Here is a 15,064-nt window from a genome sequence, read left to right on the forward strand (position 1 = left end):
GGAGGCGGAGGTTTCAGTGAGCCAAGATTGTGCCATTGCACTCCAGCTTGGGCAACAAGAGCGAAAACTCTGTCTCAAGAAAAAAAAAAAATTAGTAGCCGTGCCTGTGGTGCACAGCTATAGTCCCAGCTACCCAGGAAGCTGAGACCGGAGGATCTCTTGAGCCCAGGAGGTCAAGGCTGCAGTGAGCTATGAACATGCCACTGCACTCCAGCCTGGGCAAAAAACACAGCAAGACCCTATTTCAAAAAATAATACTAATAAAGAAGACTAGGGGCCGGGCGCGGTGGCTCATGCCTATAATCCCAGCACTTTGGGAGGCCGAGGCAGGGAGATCACTTGAAGTCAGGAGTTGGAGATCAGCCTGGCCAACATGGTGAACCCCCGTGTCTGCTAAGAATACAAAAAAATTGGCTGGGCGTGGTGACGTGTGCCTTTAATCCCAGCTGTTTGGGAGGCTGAGGCAGGAGAATCGCTTGAACCTGGGAAGCAGAGGTTGCAGTGAGCCGAGATCGCACAACTGTACTATGGTCTGGGTGACAGAGTGAGACTGTCTCAAAAAAAAAAAAAAAGAGAGAATAGGTTTTAGTCCAAGGGCCATGGGAGTCTTTGAAAGGATCTGAACAGCAGTCATCTGAGTGAGAGATAGTGGGGACTCGGCCTGGGGCAGGGCTGTGGAGGTGGTAGGTGGAGGAACTCTGGGGATATGTGGAAGGGAGACTTGTTTTTACAGTTTGTGCTGCTGAATGGGATGCTGGGGTAGTGAAAGAGGAGTCAAGGGTACTTCCCGGTTTCTGACCTGAACAAGCAGGAGGATGATGTTGTCATGAGTAGAATCGGGGCAGACTGTGGGCGGAGCAGGTCGGGGCGGGTGAGAGATCCCGTGTTCTATCTTGGACCTGTCAGACATCCAGGGCAAGATGTCAAGGAGGCAGTTAGAGATCTGAGTCTGGCGTCTGAGAGACAGATTGGGCGGAAGATGTAAATTCAGGAGTTGTCAGATAGGTGGTGTTTAAGGCCATGCGTCAGGATGAGATCAGCAGAGGAGAGGGTGTGTTAGAGCAAGGCGGAGAGCACCCGGGTCCTCTAGCATTTAGACGTCAGAGGAGAGAAGCCAGCAAGAGCCGGAGCAGGTATGAGAGATGTGGGTTGAGCACGGGAAGGGTGCCCAAAGACACAGCCATGGCGCAACACAGCCAGCCACTCTCTACCTTCACCCCACCCCAGGCAGCAGCAAGGCCCTGGAGGCCCCCACAGAATCCATCCTTCCCCTTCCACACATCGTCCCTTCAGAGGTCTAAGGCAGAGAATGTGTCCTCCATGGACTGCTATGTACACCCCCAGAATGTTCGGCCATTCCACCTCACTTCATTTCTAAGCCTTCATCATCTAACTCAGCATTGAGCAGGACCACCCCTCCCTTCACTTAGACTCTCTACCTCTGTTAATGCAACCTTAGACAGAAGTAGGCTTTCTGGTAGTAACAAATATACAAGATATGAGTGGGGAATTGTAAGGGATCCAGGCTGGTTAAAGGGAAGGGCCGTCAAGAAAGGAAATGGGATTGGTAATATCTGAAAAGGTTTATGGTTAGATCAGTGAGGGTCTTGATTGCCACACCAAGCAGTTTGGACTGAGGTGGGAAGAAGGATTCACAGAAGGTTCTGGCTTAAGGGAATGATGCAGTCAGGTGAGTTTTGTGTCAGGAAGAGCCATGCTAGGTTCTGTTCCTGGCCTTGTCCCTAATTAGCTCTCCCATGCTCACAGGCCCACTCTGGCACCACGATGAGATGAGGTAGGGCAGGGAGGTCTCACTCTGGCATGTGGGGGTGGCGGCTGCAGACACAGAGGCACCATGGAGCAGGGAGGTTCCCAGGGAGGCAGCAGCTTTGCTGGGCCCTCCACGTTTCCATAAGGGCAATGATGCTTATATTAATGAGCAGTAATTATGGGCACCCGGGTGGGCCTAAGTATAGCTCATTGAAAAAGGCAGCTCGAGGCAGCCAGCTGCTTCCCCCTGCAAGGGCAAGGCCTGCCTATTTTAAGACCTCCCTAAGGTGAGGATCCTGCCACCCTAGGTGTTGGGTGGCTGAGGGCCTGTCACCCACTGGGCCAGGAACCCTGATCAAGGGAGCTCAGAGGAGTCAGGGTGACCAGATGCTCAGACCGTCCTCATTCAAGCCCCCCATTGCCTAGAGGAGGAAACTGAGGCACAGAAGGGGGAAAGGACCAGTACGAGGTCACAGCAAATAAATAGCAGGTTTAGAATTTAAATCCAAGGGGTCTGGCATGGTGGCTCATGCCTGTAATCCCAGCATTTTGGGAGGCTGAGGCGGGCGGATCACTTGAGCTCAGGAGTTCGAGACCTGGCCAATGGTGAAACCCCGTCTCTACCAAAAGTACAAAAATTAGCCAGGCGTGGTGGCAGGCAACTGTAATCCCAGCTATTGAGGAGGCTGAGGCAGGAGAATTCCTTGAACTCGGGGGGCAGAGGTTGCAGTGAGCCAAGATCACACTACTGAACTCCAGCCTGGGTGACAGAGCAAGACTCCGTCTCAAAAAAAAAAAAAAAAAAAAAAAAAAAAGGACAGTATTTGAATACAGGTCCAACTACATGCAGTTTCCACCATGCCGTGCAGCATTCCTCACCTGGAAGCTTTGGCCTGTCCCCAAGAAGCACAGTATAGTGAGGTGAGGAGGGGAACAGAGTGTGACTGATACTGATTGGGCATCGAAATGCGAGGCTTTCTATATGACATCACAGTTCAACCTTATTATAATTTTTAAAAGTAAGGATCATGGCCAGTAATCCCAGCACTTTGGGAGGCCGAGGCGGGTGGATCATCTGAGGTCAGGAGTTCGAGACCAGCCTGGCCAACATGGGGAAACTGTCTCTACCAAAAATACAAAATGTAGCTGGGCACGGTGGCGCTCACCTGTAATCCCAGCTACTCGGGAGGCTGAGGCGGGAGAATTGCTTGAACCCGGGAGGCAGAGGTTGCAGTGAGCCGAGATCATGCCGCTGCACTCCAGCCCGAGTGACAGAATGAGACTCGGTCTAAAAAAAAACCGAAAACGGATCATTATCCCCATGTTACAGAAGAGGAAACCGAGGCTCAGGGGGAATGACTGAATCACCAAGTGTCCTGCAGTGAGGAGGGGAAGAAGTAGAATCCAGTTCCGTCCTATCTCAGGTCAGCTTCCCCAGGAAACAGACTCAGGTTTGCATGAGAAGTTTCCTGGGAAATCAGTTCGGAACATCTGTGACAGGTGAAGGGGACAGGATTGGGCAGAGGGAAGAGGTGAACCTCAATACAGCACAACAGAGGCCTCAGCGAATCCCATAGGGAGCTCTGGAACTGGGATGGCCCTTTAGGGTTGTTCTGAATTGGGGCAAGGGAGCCACACCTTGGTACCCAAACATTGACCAGTTATTGGATGCAGGGTGCCCCTGGGAAGGAGCATAAGGACAGACTATGGGTGGAGCAGGTCAGGGTGGGTGGGAGAATGAGTTCTGTATCTTGGACCTGTCAGACTTCCAGGGCAAGATGTCAAGGAGGCAGTTAGAGATCCAAGTCTGGCATCTTGGGTGAGGCATCTCCCTTTGGCTGAGAGCAGCTCCTAGCGGGAACTTGGCTGTGAATTGTCAGCAGCCAATGCTCTTGGCAGCTGGGGTTGTGAGTGCCTCTGTGCAGGGGGGTCCTGGGTGGCCATCACAGCATCCACTGCACATCCATCTCCAGAGCCGTTCTCATTCCTCTGACCCCAGATGAGAACCAGCCCCTGCTCTCAGGAAAGTTACGGGCACATGGACTCCTGTTTTTTTGTTTGTTTTGTTTGTTTTTTTTTTTTTTTGAGACAGAGTCTTGCTCTGTCACTCAGTCTGGAGTGCAGTGGCACAATCTCAGCTCACTGCAACCTCTGCCTTTCAGATTGAAGTGATTCTCCTGCCTCTGCCTCCCAAGTGGCTGGGATTATAGGCTCAAGCCACCACGTCTGGCTAATTGTTGTATTTTTAGTAGAGATGGGGTTTCGCCATATTGGGCAGGGTGGTCTCAAATTCCTGACCTCAAGTAATCCAGGCGTGAGCCACCATGCCCAGCCTTACACTCCTTTTCTTTATGGTGCTCACAGGCCAGGGGATGCTGGGGGGAAGGGAAGCCATCAGTGCTAATGGGGAAGGAAAGAGCGAGTAAGTGGTCAGTCCTGGAAGAGGAGAAAAATACTACCAAAACCCCACAAAGACAGAATGGGAGAAAATATTTACAAACCATATATCTGCTAAGGGTTCAATATCTAGAATATATACAAAGAATTCCTAGAGCTTAACAACAAAAATGACAAACAACCCAATTATAAAATGGGCAAAGGACTTAAATAGACATTTCTCCCAAGAAGATATACAGACAGCCAATAAGCACATGGAAAGATGCTCAACATCATTAGTCATCAGGAAAATGCAAATCAAAGCCACAGGGAGATACCAGTTCACACCTACTAGGATGACTATAATTTTTTTAAAAAGGAAATAAGTTCTGGCAAGATCTGGGAAAACTGGAACCCCTGTATATTGCTGGTGGGAACGTCATATGGTGCAGCTGCTATGGAAAACAGTTTGGTGGTTCCGCAAAAAGTTAAACATAGGGGCTGGGCGTGGTGGCTCGCCTGTAATCCCAGCACTTTTGGAGGCCAAGGCGGGTGGATCACAAGGTCAGGAGTTCAAGAACAGCCTGGCCAAATGGTGAAACCCCGTCTCTACTAAAAATACAAAACATAGCCAGGTGCAGTGGCGGGCACCTGTAATCCCAGCTACTCGGGTTGCTGAGGCAGGAGAATCACTTGAACCCAGGAGGCGGAGGTTGCAGTGAGCCAAGATCATGCCATTGCACTCCAGCCTGGGCGACAAGAGCAAGACTCCATCTCAAAAACAAAACAAAACAAAAGTTAAACATAGAATTACTGTATGATCCAGCAATTCCACTTGGATATTAACCCAAAACAATTGAAAACAGAGACTCAAACAGATACTTGGACACCATTGTTTGTAGCAATATTATTCACAATAGCCAAAAGGTAGAAACAACCCAGGTGTCCATCCAAAGATGAATGGATTAAACAAAATGTACTATATATGCAGGATGGAATATGATGCAGCCATAAAACGGAATGAAGTTCTGACCCATGCTACAACATGGGTGAACTTAGAAAACAAACATTATGCTACGTGAAATAGGTCAGACACAAAATAACAAATGTTATATGATTCCACATATTGAGAATATTTAGCATAGGCAAATTCAGAGAGACAGAAAGTAGGTTAAATATTACTAGGGGCCGCCAGGCATAGGGCTCACATCTGTAATCCCAGCACTTTGGGAGGCCAAGGCAGGCATTTCACTTGAAGTCAAGAGTTCAAGACCAGCCTGGCCAACATGGTGAAACCCGTTCTCCACTAAAAATACAAAAATTAGCTGGGCATGGTGGCATGCGCCTCTAATCCCAGCTACTTGGGAGGCTGAGGCACGAGAATCGCTTGAACCCAGGAGGCAGAGGTTGCAGTGAGCCGAGATCGCACCACCGCACTCCAGCCTGGGTGACAGAGCGAGACTCTCAGACTCTGTCTCAAAAAAAAAAATGAATAAAAGAAATTACCAGGGGCTAGGAGAAGGAGGAGAAAAGAAGTTTTTGCTTAATGGGTACAGAGTTTCTGTTTGGGGTGATGGAATGGTTTTGGAAATAGATCATAGTGGTGGTTACACAACATTGTGAGTGTCCATAATGCCCCACTGAATTGCACGCTTAAAGATGGTTAAAATGGCAAATTTTATGTTACATGTATTTTGCTACAATAAAAGTAATACCTACGGGAAATAGGAAAATTCATAGACACGGAAAGTATCTATGGACGTGGTTGTCAGAAGCTGGGAAAAGGGGAAAATAGGGAATGACTGCTTATTGGGGATGCGGTTTGCTTTTGGGGTTATGAAAATGTTTCAGGGCTGGGTGTGGTGGCTCATGCCTGTAATCCCAACATTGTGGGAGGCTGAGGCAGGAGTATTGCTTGAGCCCAGGAGTTCCAGACCAGCTTGGGCAACATAATGAGACTCCTGTCTGTACCAAAAAAAAAAAAAATGTTTTTTCTAATTAGCTGGGCATGTACCTATAGTCTCAGCTACTCAAGAAGCTGATGTGGGAGGACATTTGAGCCCAGGAGATCAAAGCTGCGGTGAGCTATGATCACACCACTGCACTCCAGCCTCGGCAACAGAGCGAGACCCTGTCTCAAAAGAAAGAAAGAGGCTGGGTGCAATGGCTCATGCCTGTAATCTCAACACTTTGGGAGGCCGAGGCAGGCGGATCATGAAGTCAGGAGTTAGAGACCAGCCTGGCCAACATAGTGAAACCCCATCTGTACTAAAAATTACAAAAATTAGCCGGATGTGGTGGCATGCACCTGTAGTCCCAGCTACTCAGGAGGTTGAGGCAGGAGAATCGGTTGAACCTGGGAGGCAGAGGTTGCAGTGAGCTGAGACCACACCATTGCACTCCAACCTGGGTGACAGAGTGAGAGTCCATCAAAAGAAAGAAGTGGGAGGGAGGGAGGGAAGGAAGGAAGGAAGGAAGGAAGGAAATATTTCGGAACTAGATGGAGGTAGTGATTACACAGCATTGTTACTAAATGTCACTAAATTGTACACTTTAAAATGACTAATTTTATGTTACATTAATTTCTCCTCAGTTTTTTTTTAAAAAAGGAAAAAAGGCTGGGTGCAGTGGCTCACGCCTGTAATCCCAGCATTTTGGGAGGCCAAGGTGGGTGGATCACAGAAGGTCAGGAGTTCGAGACCAGCCTGGTCAACATGGTGAAAACCTGTCTCTACTAAAAATACAAAAATTAGCTGGGCGTGGTGGTGCGTGCCTATAATCCCGGCTACTAGTTAGGCTGAGGCACGAGAATCGCTGGAACCCAGGAGGCAGAGGTTGCAGTGAGCTGAGACCACCCCATTGCACTCCAGCCTGGGCGACAAGAGCAAGACTCCGTGTCAAAAAATAAAAATAAAAAAGGGAAAAAAAACTGGAAAAATACAATCCATAATATGCAGCTAATAGATACTCAGGGGAAAATATATAGCTTTTCTGTGACACATTTATTAGAGTATAAGGAGATCAGAAAACAAATGAACTAAACGTCCAACTCAAAAAGGTGGAAAAGGTGTTAGAATAAGAAAGTGTGCTGAACCCAGCTTTAGCAGGGGTGAGGGAGGGAGGCACCTTGCAAGAGGAGGGTTGAACCTCTAGGACTATACTGTCAACCTGGTAGCCACTTGCCACATGTGCTATTTAAATTAAATTAATTAAACTTTTTAAAAAATTAAAAATTCAGTTTCCCAGTCGCACTAGCTGCATGTCAAGTGCTCTGTGGCCCAGTGGCTACCATATTGGACAGCTCAGATCTAGGGGAAGATGGACAAGAAACTAGCAAACAAGTAAACACATGAGAGTTTCCCAGAGCAGTGAGAGCTATGAAGAAATCCTGAAGGGTGTGAGCTTGGCTGGCAGGTGGACAGTAAGAGATGGGAACAAGGTTGGAGAAGCTGGTGGAAGCTGGGCCATGCTGGGCCAGATGGACATCCACTCTTTGCTGAGGCCACCTGGTACCGTCCCATCCTCCCCACCCTCTGCCCCTCAGCTGGTGGATCCAGCCCCCACACTGTCCCCTTTCTTTGCACATCCTCCAGTTCAGCAGGGCCAGTGGGCTGGGTGGGGCCTGCGTTAAGAGTCAAGAAGACCTGGGTTCCAGTCCTGGTTCCGTGTGGCTTTGTGCTGTCTGGTTCCCAGACTGGCGCACTTTGTCTCATAGGATGTTCTAGAGGTCAGAGTCTAAAACGGATTGCAGAGCTACATTCTCTCTGGAGGCTCTAGGGGAGAATTCATCTCTTTTTTTGAGACACAGTCCCACTTTGTTGCCCAGGCTGGTCTCAAACTCCTGGCCTCAAGCAATCCTCCTGCCTTGGCCTCCCAAAGTGCTGGGATTACAGGCGTAAGCCACCATGCCCAGCCATCTCTGCCAGCTTCTGAAGGCTGCCTGCATTCCTTGGCTCATGTCTCCACATCACTCTGATCTCTGCTTCTGTTGGCACATCTCCTCTGACTCTGACCTTCCTGCCTGTTTATTTATTTATTTATGTATTTATTTTTGAGACAGAGTCTCACTCTGTTGCCCAGGCTGGAGTGCAGTGGCACAATCTCGGCTCACTGCAACCTCCACCTCCAGGTTCAAGTGATTTTCCTGCCTCAGCCTCCCAAGTAGCTGGGATTATAGGCGCACGCCATCACACCCAGTAATTTTTGTATTTTTAGTAGAGATGGGGTTTCACTACGTTGGCCAGGCTGGTCTCAAACTCCTGACCTCAAGTGATCTGCCCTGCCTTGGCCTCCAAAAGTGCTGGGATTACAGATATGAGAAACCATGGCTGGCCCATTCCTGTTTCTTTTTTTCTTTTTTTTTTTTTTTTTTTTTTTTGAGACAGAGTCTTATTCTGTCACCCAGGCTGGAGTGCAGTGGCACGATCTCAGCTCACTGCGAACTCTGCCTCCTGGGCTCAAGTGATTCTCCAGAAGCCTCAGCCTCCCAAGTAGCTGGCATTACAAGCACACACCCCACACCCAGCTAATTTTTTGTTTTTTGGTAGAGATGGGGTTTCACTGTGTTGGCCTGGGTGGTCTCAAACTCCTGATCTCAAGTGATCCACCTGCCTTGGCCTCCAAAAGTGCTGGGATTACAGGTGTGAGCCACCATGCCCAGCCCATGCCTCTTTCTTATAGGGACCGTGTGATTAGCTTGAGCCTATCCAGATAATTCATGATAGTCTCCCCATCTCAAGATCCTTAATCACATTTGCAAAATAACCACACCTGCCAAGTTCCTTTTGACAAGGTCATGGGCATATTTGGGGGCCATTATTCTGCCCTCCATACTTGATGTCAGCCAGAGCCTTTGTGCTGTGACCTGACCCAGCCCCTCTGAGAGCCCTCCCTCCACAAACCTTGTCCTCACTTGCTCTGCTCCAGCCACACTGACTCTTTGCCAATCCTCAGCACACCAGGCTCAGGCCAAACCAAGTCTTGGTACTCCCACGTACAGGGCCGGTGGGCTTAGAAACCTCGCCAACCTCTCTGCTCCATGGCAGACAGGAAGATTGAGGCCCAGGCTCAGAAAAGGAAGGGACTTACCTAAGTTTTGGACTAGTATTTCCAGGATGTTCCCATTTTACAACAGGGGAAACTGAGGCACAGCAACTGCACCTAAATGCCACCCTCTTGTGAGCCCTTGCCTTGCTTGTCCTGAGGACGTGCCCCTGTTATTGACTCTGAGAGCTCTATTCCAGGCCATCTTTGCTTCATCTCAATTGGAAATGATGGGCCTATGGGCTTGTTGGCCTCTTTGGTGTCAGAAGCCCTCAGCACCTGCCCAGCAGTCATACTTGGTAGACATTCGGTGAAGGGCAGAGCAGGTTTTTGCAGAGGGCTTCCATTTGACATAGGAATTCCTCTGTTAAACAATTGGACGGTACTGCCCTCAGACCTGGATGAGATGGGCCCTTGCCCTAGGTCCTTCTTTTTGGAAGGCCTCTCTAGGCAGGCACAGTGGCCCACAGCTATAATCCCAGCACTTTGGGAGACCAAGGCTGGAGGATCCCTTGATCCCAGGAGGCCAAGGCTGCAGTGAGCTGTCTGTGACCTTGTTGCAAAAAAAAAAAAAAAAAAAAAAAAGGCCAGGCATGGTGGCTCATGCCTGTAATCTCAGTACTTTGGAAGGCCAAGGTGGGCGGATCACTTGAGGTCAGGAGTTCGAGACCAGTCTGGCCAACATAGTGAAACCCTGTCTCTACTAAAAATACAAAAATTAGCCATGTGTGGTGGCATGCATCTGTAATCCCAGCTACTCGGCAGGCTGAGGCAGGAGAATCACTTGAACCCGGGAGACGGAGGTTGCAGTGAGCCAGGATCACACCACTGCACTCCAGCCTGGGTAACAGAGTGAGACTCTGTCTCTAAAAAAAAAAAAAAAAAAAGACCTCTCTGGCCCTCTAAAAGTCCATGTTTTTCCCCATAAGGCAAGGAGAGTTCAGGAGCCCTGGGGACATGCCCACCAGCAGGCTGCATCCCCCCATAGACCACCCTGGATACTGGGCACCCTGGGATTCCCTGCCCAAATGACCCACGCCTGCCTCCAGGGCCAGCACAGGGTCCTCCCGTGGGAGGTGGACCCTGCCACAGGGACCATCCTGGGGTTCCGGGATGACTGTTTGGGGGCCTGTGGACAGAGCTAGGAGATGTGGGCTGGGGTATTTGCATCTATGTGGACCCTCGGGGTGAGGGACAGAGTCAGAAACGGAAAGAGAGTGGAGGATGGGCAGCCCCCCACCCATATTTCATCATGGAATTCAGAGGAGACCCAGAACTCTGAGTCTGAGCCTGGTTTTCCAGGTTGTTTTAAAGATACAGTCCTCAAGCTAGAAGAATGGAAGATGTTGTGCTTGTCTGATAGTCGGTAGCTTGAGTTGTAACTTTTATTTATACACAGAGTACGTGGGCCTCGGTGTGTACTCCTGTCCTCAGGCCCACAACATTGAGGACTGGCTTCAGAGATCCTCCCAGCCTTGCGATCTGGATCTGACCTTCCCGGCACCCCTCCCCGACAATCCAGCTGACCAGCTGACCGCTTTCTGTCTTCTCTCCCTAGGATAGCTGCCGCCCGGGAGAGGTGACCCGGGCGCCCTGCTAGGGTGAAGGCCCCTGCCCTCGGCCCGGGATCATGAAAGGCCTCGGTGACAGCCGCCCCCGCCACCTCTCCGACAGCCTAGACCCACCCCACGAGCCCCTGTTTGCAGGGACCGACCGCAACCCCTACCTGCTGTCGCCCACGGAGGCCTTCGCCCGCGAGGCCCGCTTCCCCGGGCAGAACACCCTGCCAGGAGATGGCCTCTTTCCCCTCAACAACCAGCTGCCCCCGCCCAGCAGCACCTTTCCCCGCATCCACTACAACTCCCACTTCGAGGTGCCAGAGGAGAGCCCCTTCCCCAGCCATGCCCAAGCCACCAAGATCAACCGGCTGCCCGCCAACCTCCTGGACCAGTTTGAGAAGCAGCTGCCCATCCACCGTGATGGCTTCAGCACCCTCCAATTTCCCCGTGGCGAGGCCAAGGCCCGTGGTGAGAGCCCTGGCCGCATCCGCCACCTGGTCCACTCAGTCCAGCGGCTTTTCTTCACCAAGGCACCCTCACTGGAGGGCACAGCGGGCAAGGTCGGTGGCAATGGCAGCAAGAAGGGTGGCATGGAGGACGGCAAGGGCCGGAGGGCCAAAAGCAAGGAGCGGGCCAAGGCTGGGGAGCCCAAACGGCGCAGCCGCTCCAACATCTCAGGCTGGTGGAGCTCCGATGACAACTTGGACGGCGAGGCCGGCGCCTTCCGCAGCAGTGGCCCAGCCTCTGGGCTGATGACACTAGGCCGCCAGGCAGAACGCAGCCAGCCACGCTACTTCATGCACGCCTACAACACCATCAGTGGGCACATGCTCAAAACCACCAAGAACAACACTACTGAGCTGACTGCCCCACCACCCCCGCCCGCACCCCCAGCCACCTGCCCCAGCCTTGGGGTGGGCACTGACACCAACTACGTCAAACGGGGCTCCTGGTCCACTCTGACCCTCAGCCACGCCCACGAGGTCTGCCAGAAGACCTCAGCCACCTTGGATAAGAGCCTGCTCAAGTCCAAATCCTGCCACCAGGGTCTAGCCTACCATTACCTGCAGGTGGGTCTCTGGCAGGGTCAGGGGTGGGATGAGGGCTCTGGGGACGGCACCAGTTTTGAGGCCTAGACGTACCACAGATTCACTTGGAAAGTCACTTCATTCTGGGCCTCTGTGGCTCAGCTATAAAATGGGTGGCCTAGTGGTACCTGCTAATCAGGGAGTCCTTCCACTGGTCATGCTCTCAACAGAGATTAATTAGGGCCTTTCTGAGCCCAGCCCTGAGCAGGGACTAAAATATGTTCCTGCCCTTTAGAAGACAAATCTGGAAGCTGTGCCATCCCAACCCCCTCACAGAACCAATTGCATGACATTCTAATTGCCAGCCTCTCCCTGCCACCCCCATCAGACTGACAGTTTTTTGAGGACAGGGATCACATCTGATGCAGCCATGTGTCCCCAAGGCCCAGGACAGGATCTGGCATGCAGGAAGTGCTCAGGAAATGTGAGCGAGGGAGGGGTAGATGGACAGATGGACAATTAAATGAACAGAGTCAGAAATAAAGAAGACACAGTCCCAAAGATTAGAATACTGGGAAAGACATGGACGGTCATGTCAGTGTCGGCAGAGTGTGATGGGGATCAGCACCAAGAGTTGCAGGGGCCCAGGGGGTCCTAACCCAGCTTGGGGGAATAGCTTTCTTCTTTCAAATGCCAACACTGATTCAGGCACTTGCTGTGCACCAAGGCCACATGGCTTGAAAGTGGCAGAAGGCTGAGACATCACCGTGGCTGCACATTTCCAAGTGGCTCTCAAGGGTAGGGCAGGGGGCTATGAACTGAATGGCTCCCCAGGGCAAAGCCAGGCTGTGGGTGGAAATTACAGGAAGCAGATTTCAGGTGGAAGGAGCTGCTTCTGCAGGTAGTGAGTGCCTCATCTCAGGGGGAATGCAAGCGCGGGCCTGGCCAGCCCTTGGGAACTCTGATGAGTATTTCTTTTTTTTTTTTTTAGACAGAGTTTCAGTTTCACTCTTGTTGCCCAGGCTGGAATGCAGTGGCGCGATCTCGGCTCACTGCAACCTCCGCCCCCCGGGTTCAAGCAATTCTCCTGCCTCAGCCTCCTGAGTAGCTGGGATTACAGGCACCCGCCACCATGCCTGGTTAATTTTTTGTATGTTTAATAGAGACGGGATTTTATCATGTTGGCCAGACTGGTTTTGAACTCCTAACCTCCAGTCTGCCTCGGCCTCCCAAAGTGCAGGGATTACAGGACTGAGCCACTGCACCCAGCAATTTTTTTTTTTTTTGAGATGGAGTTTCACACTTGTCACCCAGACTGGAGTGCAATGGCAGGATCCTGGCTCACTGCAACCTCCGCCTCCTGGGTTCCAGTGATTCTCCTGCCTCAGCCTCCTGAGTAGCTGGGATTATAGGTGCGAGCCACCAAGACTGACCAATTTTTGTGTTTTTAGTAGAGATGGGGTTTTATCATGTTGGCCAGGCTGGTCTCGAATTCCTGACCTCAGGTGAGCACCTGCCTCAGCCTCCCAAAGTGCTGGGATTACTGACGTGAGCCACTGCACCCAGCCATGAGATGCATTTTGAACGAGATGATCTTCGGGGTCTAACAAAGCGCTGACTTCTTATCATCTTATATGAAATTCCAGAAACAGTGAGACTATTTTCTTTTTCAATAGGAGGAAACTGAAATCCAGGCAGTATGTGATATATTTAGGGCTCTTGTGGTTCTGAAACTGCTTCCTTGGTTTAGAAGCATTAGGGAGGGTGATGTGTGACCGGGCTTCCTCTCAAAATGGTATAGTTGGGTCTGATCATGTAACAATGCCGCAGAAACACCATGAGAGGGTAGCCCTGTGGGCCCTGGAGTCTGTGCTGCCTGCTTGGGTGACAGGAGGTGAGTGGGTGGCTTAGCAACAGTTTCTGAGCAGTGATGTACAAGGCCATGTTCCCAAGGGACAGTGGGGATAGTGGGGCTGGACTAGCAAGTGGCTTGTAGGCAGAATGCACTGGCCCTAGGCTGGGCAGTCTGCTGAGGGTTTATGGGAAGGCTGGGTGGGGCTGGAGTGGGAGTCCTGGACATTACCTTCCCTTTGTGGAAAGTGGGCCTCTGACACAGAGGGCATGGAGAATGGTGCAGTACCTGTGTAGACATGGCCCTTGGGCAGTGTGCATGTGTATGCTATAGAGAGTGGGAATGCTGTGTACACTGAATGAGTGGGCTTGGACATCTGTGGTGACATGTGCAGTCTGGTGAGGGGTATGCTGTGTGCATGTGGAGGCGGGGACAGTGCAAGGTAGATACACGTTGAGATGTGTGTCCACAGTGCAGTAGTTGCTGGCGCGAATGTCCAGAGGGAGGGTAGTGGGAAGGTGGGTGTGCTCTGTGTATATGCTGCATACTTGTGGGGGGGGGTTGCTGTGACAAAGTGGCTGCTGGTGTGTGTCCTTGGTGAGGTGTGTGGTACACTGGGGGTACTCACTGAGGGGCATGGGGCATATGCTTGTTCTGTACATTTTGAGATATGTGTACAGGATGAGGCATGTTCACTCTGTGCACAGGCTGTGTGTGAGTGCTGAGATGTGTGCATTTTTCATCACACAGTGACCATCCATTGTGTTTCCGTAACAGTGTGAATGAAATGGCGAGGAATGTAGCCTGTGTGCACTGCCCTGGGGCAGCCAGCAGAGCCCGGCTCAGAAGGACAGGGAAGGTCCCCTCGGTTGGTTACTGCCACCATAACCACTGGAGACTGGGGGACCAGGGCTGCCCTCACAGCTGTGACCTCACCTGCCCTATCACAGCCCCGTTCCACGGACGGAGTCCCTGAAGTTCAGATGGGAAAACTGAGCCCTTTTTCCAGCTCACCATGTGGCTACCTGACCCGGGGAAGCACCTCTGCTCTCTGTATCTCAGTTTCCCCACCTGTGGGACAAAGAATATCCATTGGCTCTGGGATCCCGTCCCCCCTCATGCTGATGTGCCAGGGTCGTCTGATCCCCCATTCTAGGCTCAGGCTCTGGATCCTGGTCTGGGGCCTCTTTCTGCAAGTGCCTTGCGTCCCTCAGGCCTGGTGTTCTCATCTGTGCAGTGAGATCATAAGCATCCCCTGAGAGTCCACGTGAAGTGACTGTGGGGCTAAGTAGAGATGGCTGCAGTGGAGGCCACCATGACCACAGGGCCTAGGGCATTGCTTCTGGGGCAAACCCAGCCTGGGATCCATGGAGAAATCCCAGGCTGGAGAGGCTCTGGAACCCCGGTATTCCTCCCAGCCCAGGGCTCTGCTCTGC

The 15,064-nt window shown here is 51.4% G+C and overlaps 1 protein-coding gene across 5 annotated transcripts in view, besides 1 other annotated feature; it reads left to right on the top strand.

Moving 5' to 3' along the window:
• Positions 1-15,064, top strand: part of DLGAP4 (DLG associated protein 4) — a 222,295-nt gene that overhangs the window by 114,560 nt on the left and 92,671 nt on the right. For all 5 annotated transcript variants that reach the window (NM_014902.6, NM_001365621.2, XM_011528689.3 and 2 more), the window contains exon 3: positions 10,748-11,818. In NM_014902.6, coding sequence (NP_055717.2) covers positions 10,820-11,818 — 999 coding nt within the window. In that variant the 5' untranslated portion in view covers positions 10,748-10,819. The remainder of the gene's footprint in view (positions 1-10,747; positions 11,819-15,064) is intronic.
• Positions 10,932-11,433: an enhancer, noted in NCBI's record as "H3K27ac-H3K4me1 hESC enhancer chr20:35060233-35060734 (GRCh37/hg19 assembly coordinates)". NCBI's record gives its function as "activates a minimal SCP1, AML or CMV promoter by ChIP-STARR-seq in naive H9 embryonic stem cells {active_cell/tissue: H9 hESC(naive)}" and the evidence as "EXISTENCE:reporter gene assay evidence [ECO:0000049][PMID:30033119]".

This window comes from Homo sapiens, chromosome 20, assembly GCF_000001405.40.
Source record: "Homo sapiens chromosome 20, GRCh38.p14 Primary Assembly".
In the NCBI taxonomy this organism is placed as follows: domain Eukaryota; kingdom Metazoa; phylum Chordata; class Mammalia; order Primates; family Hominidae; genus Homo; species Homo sapiens.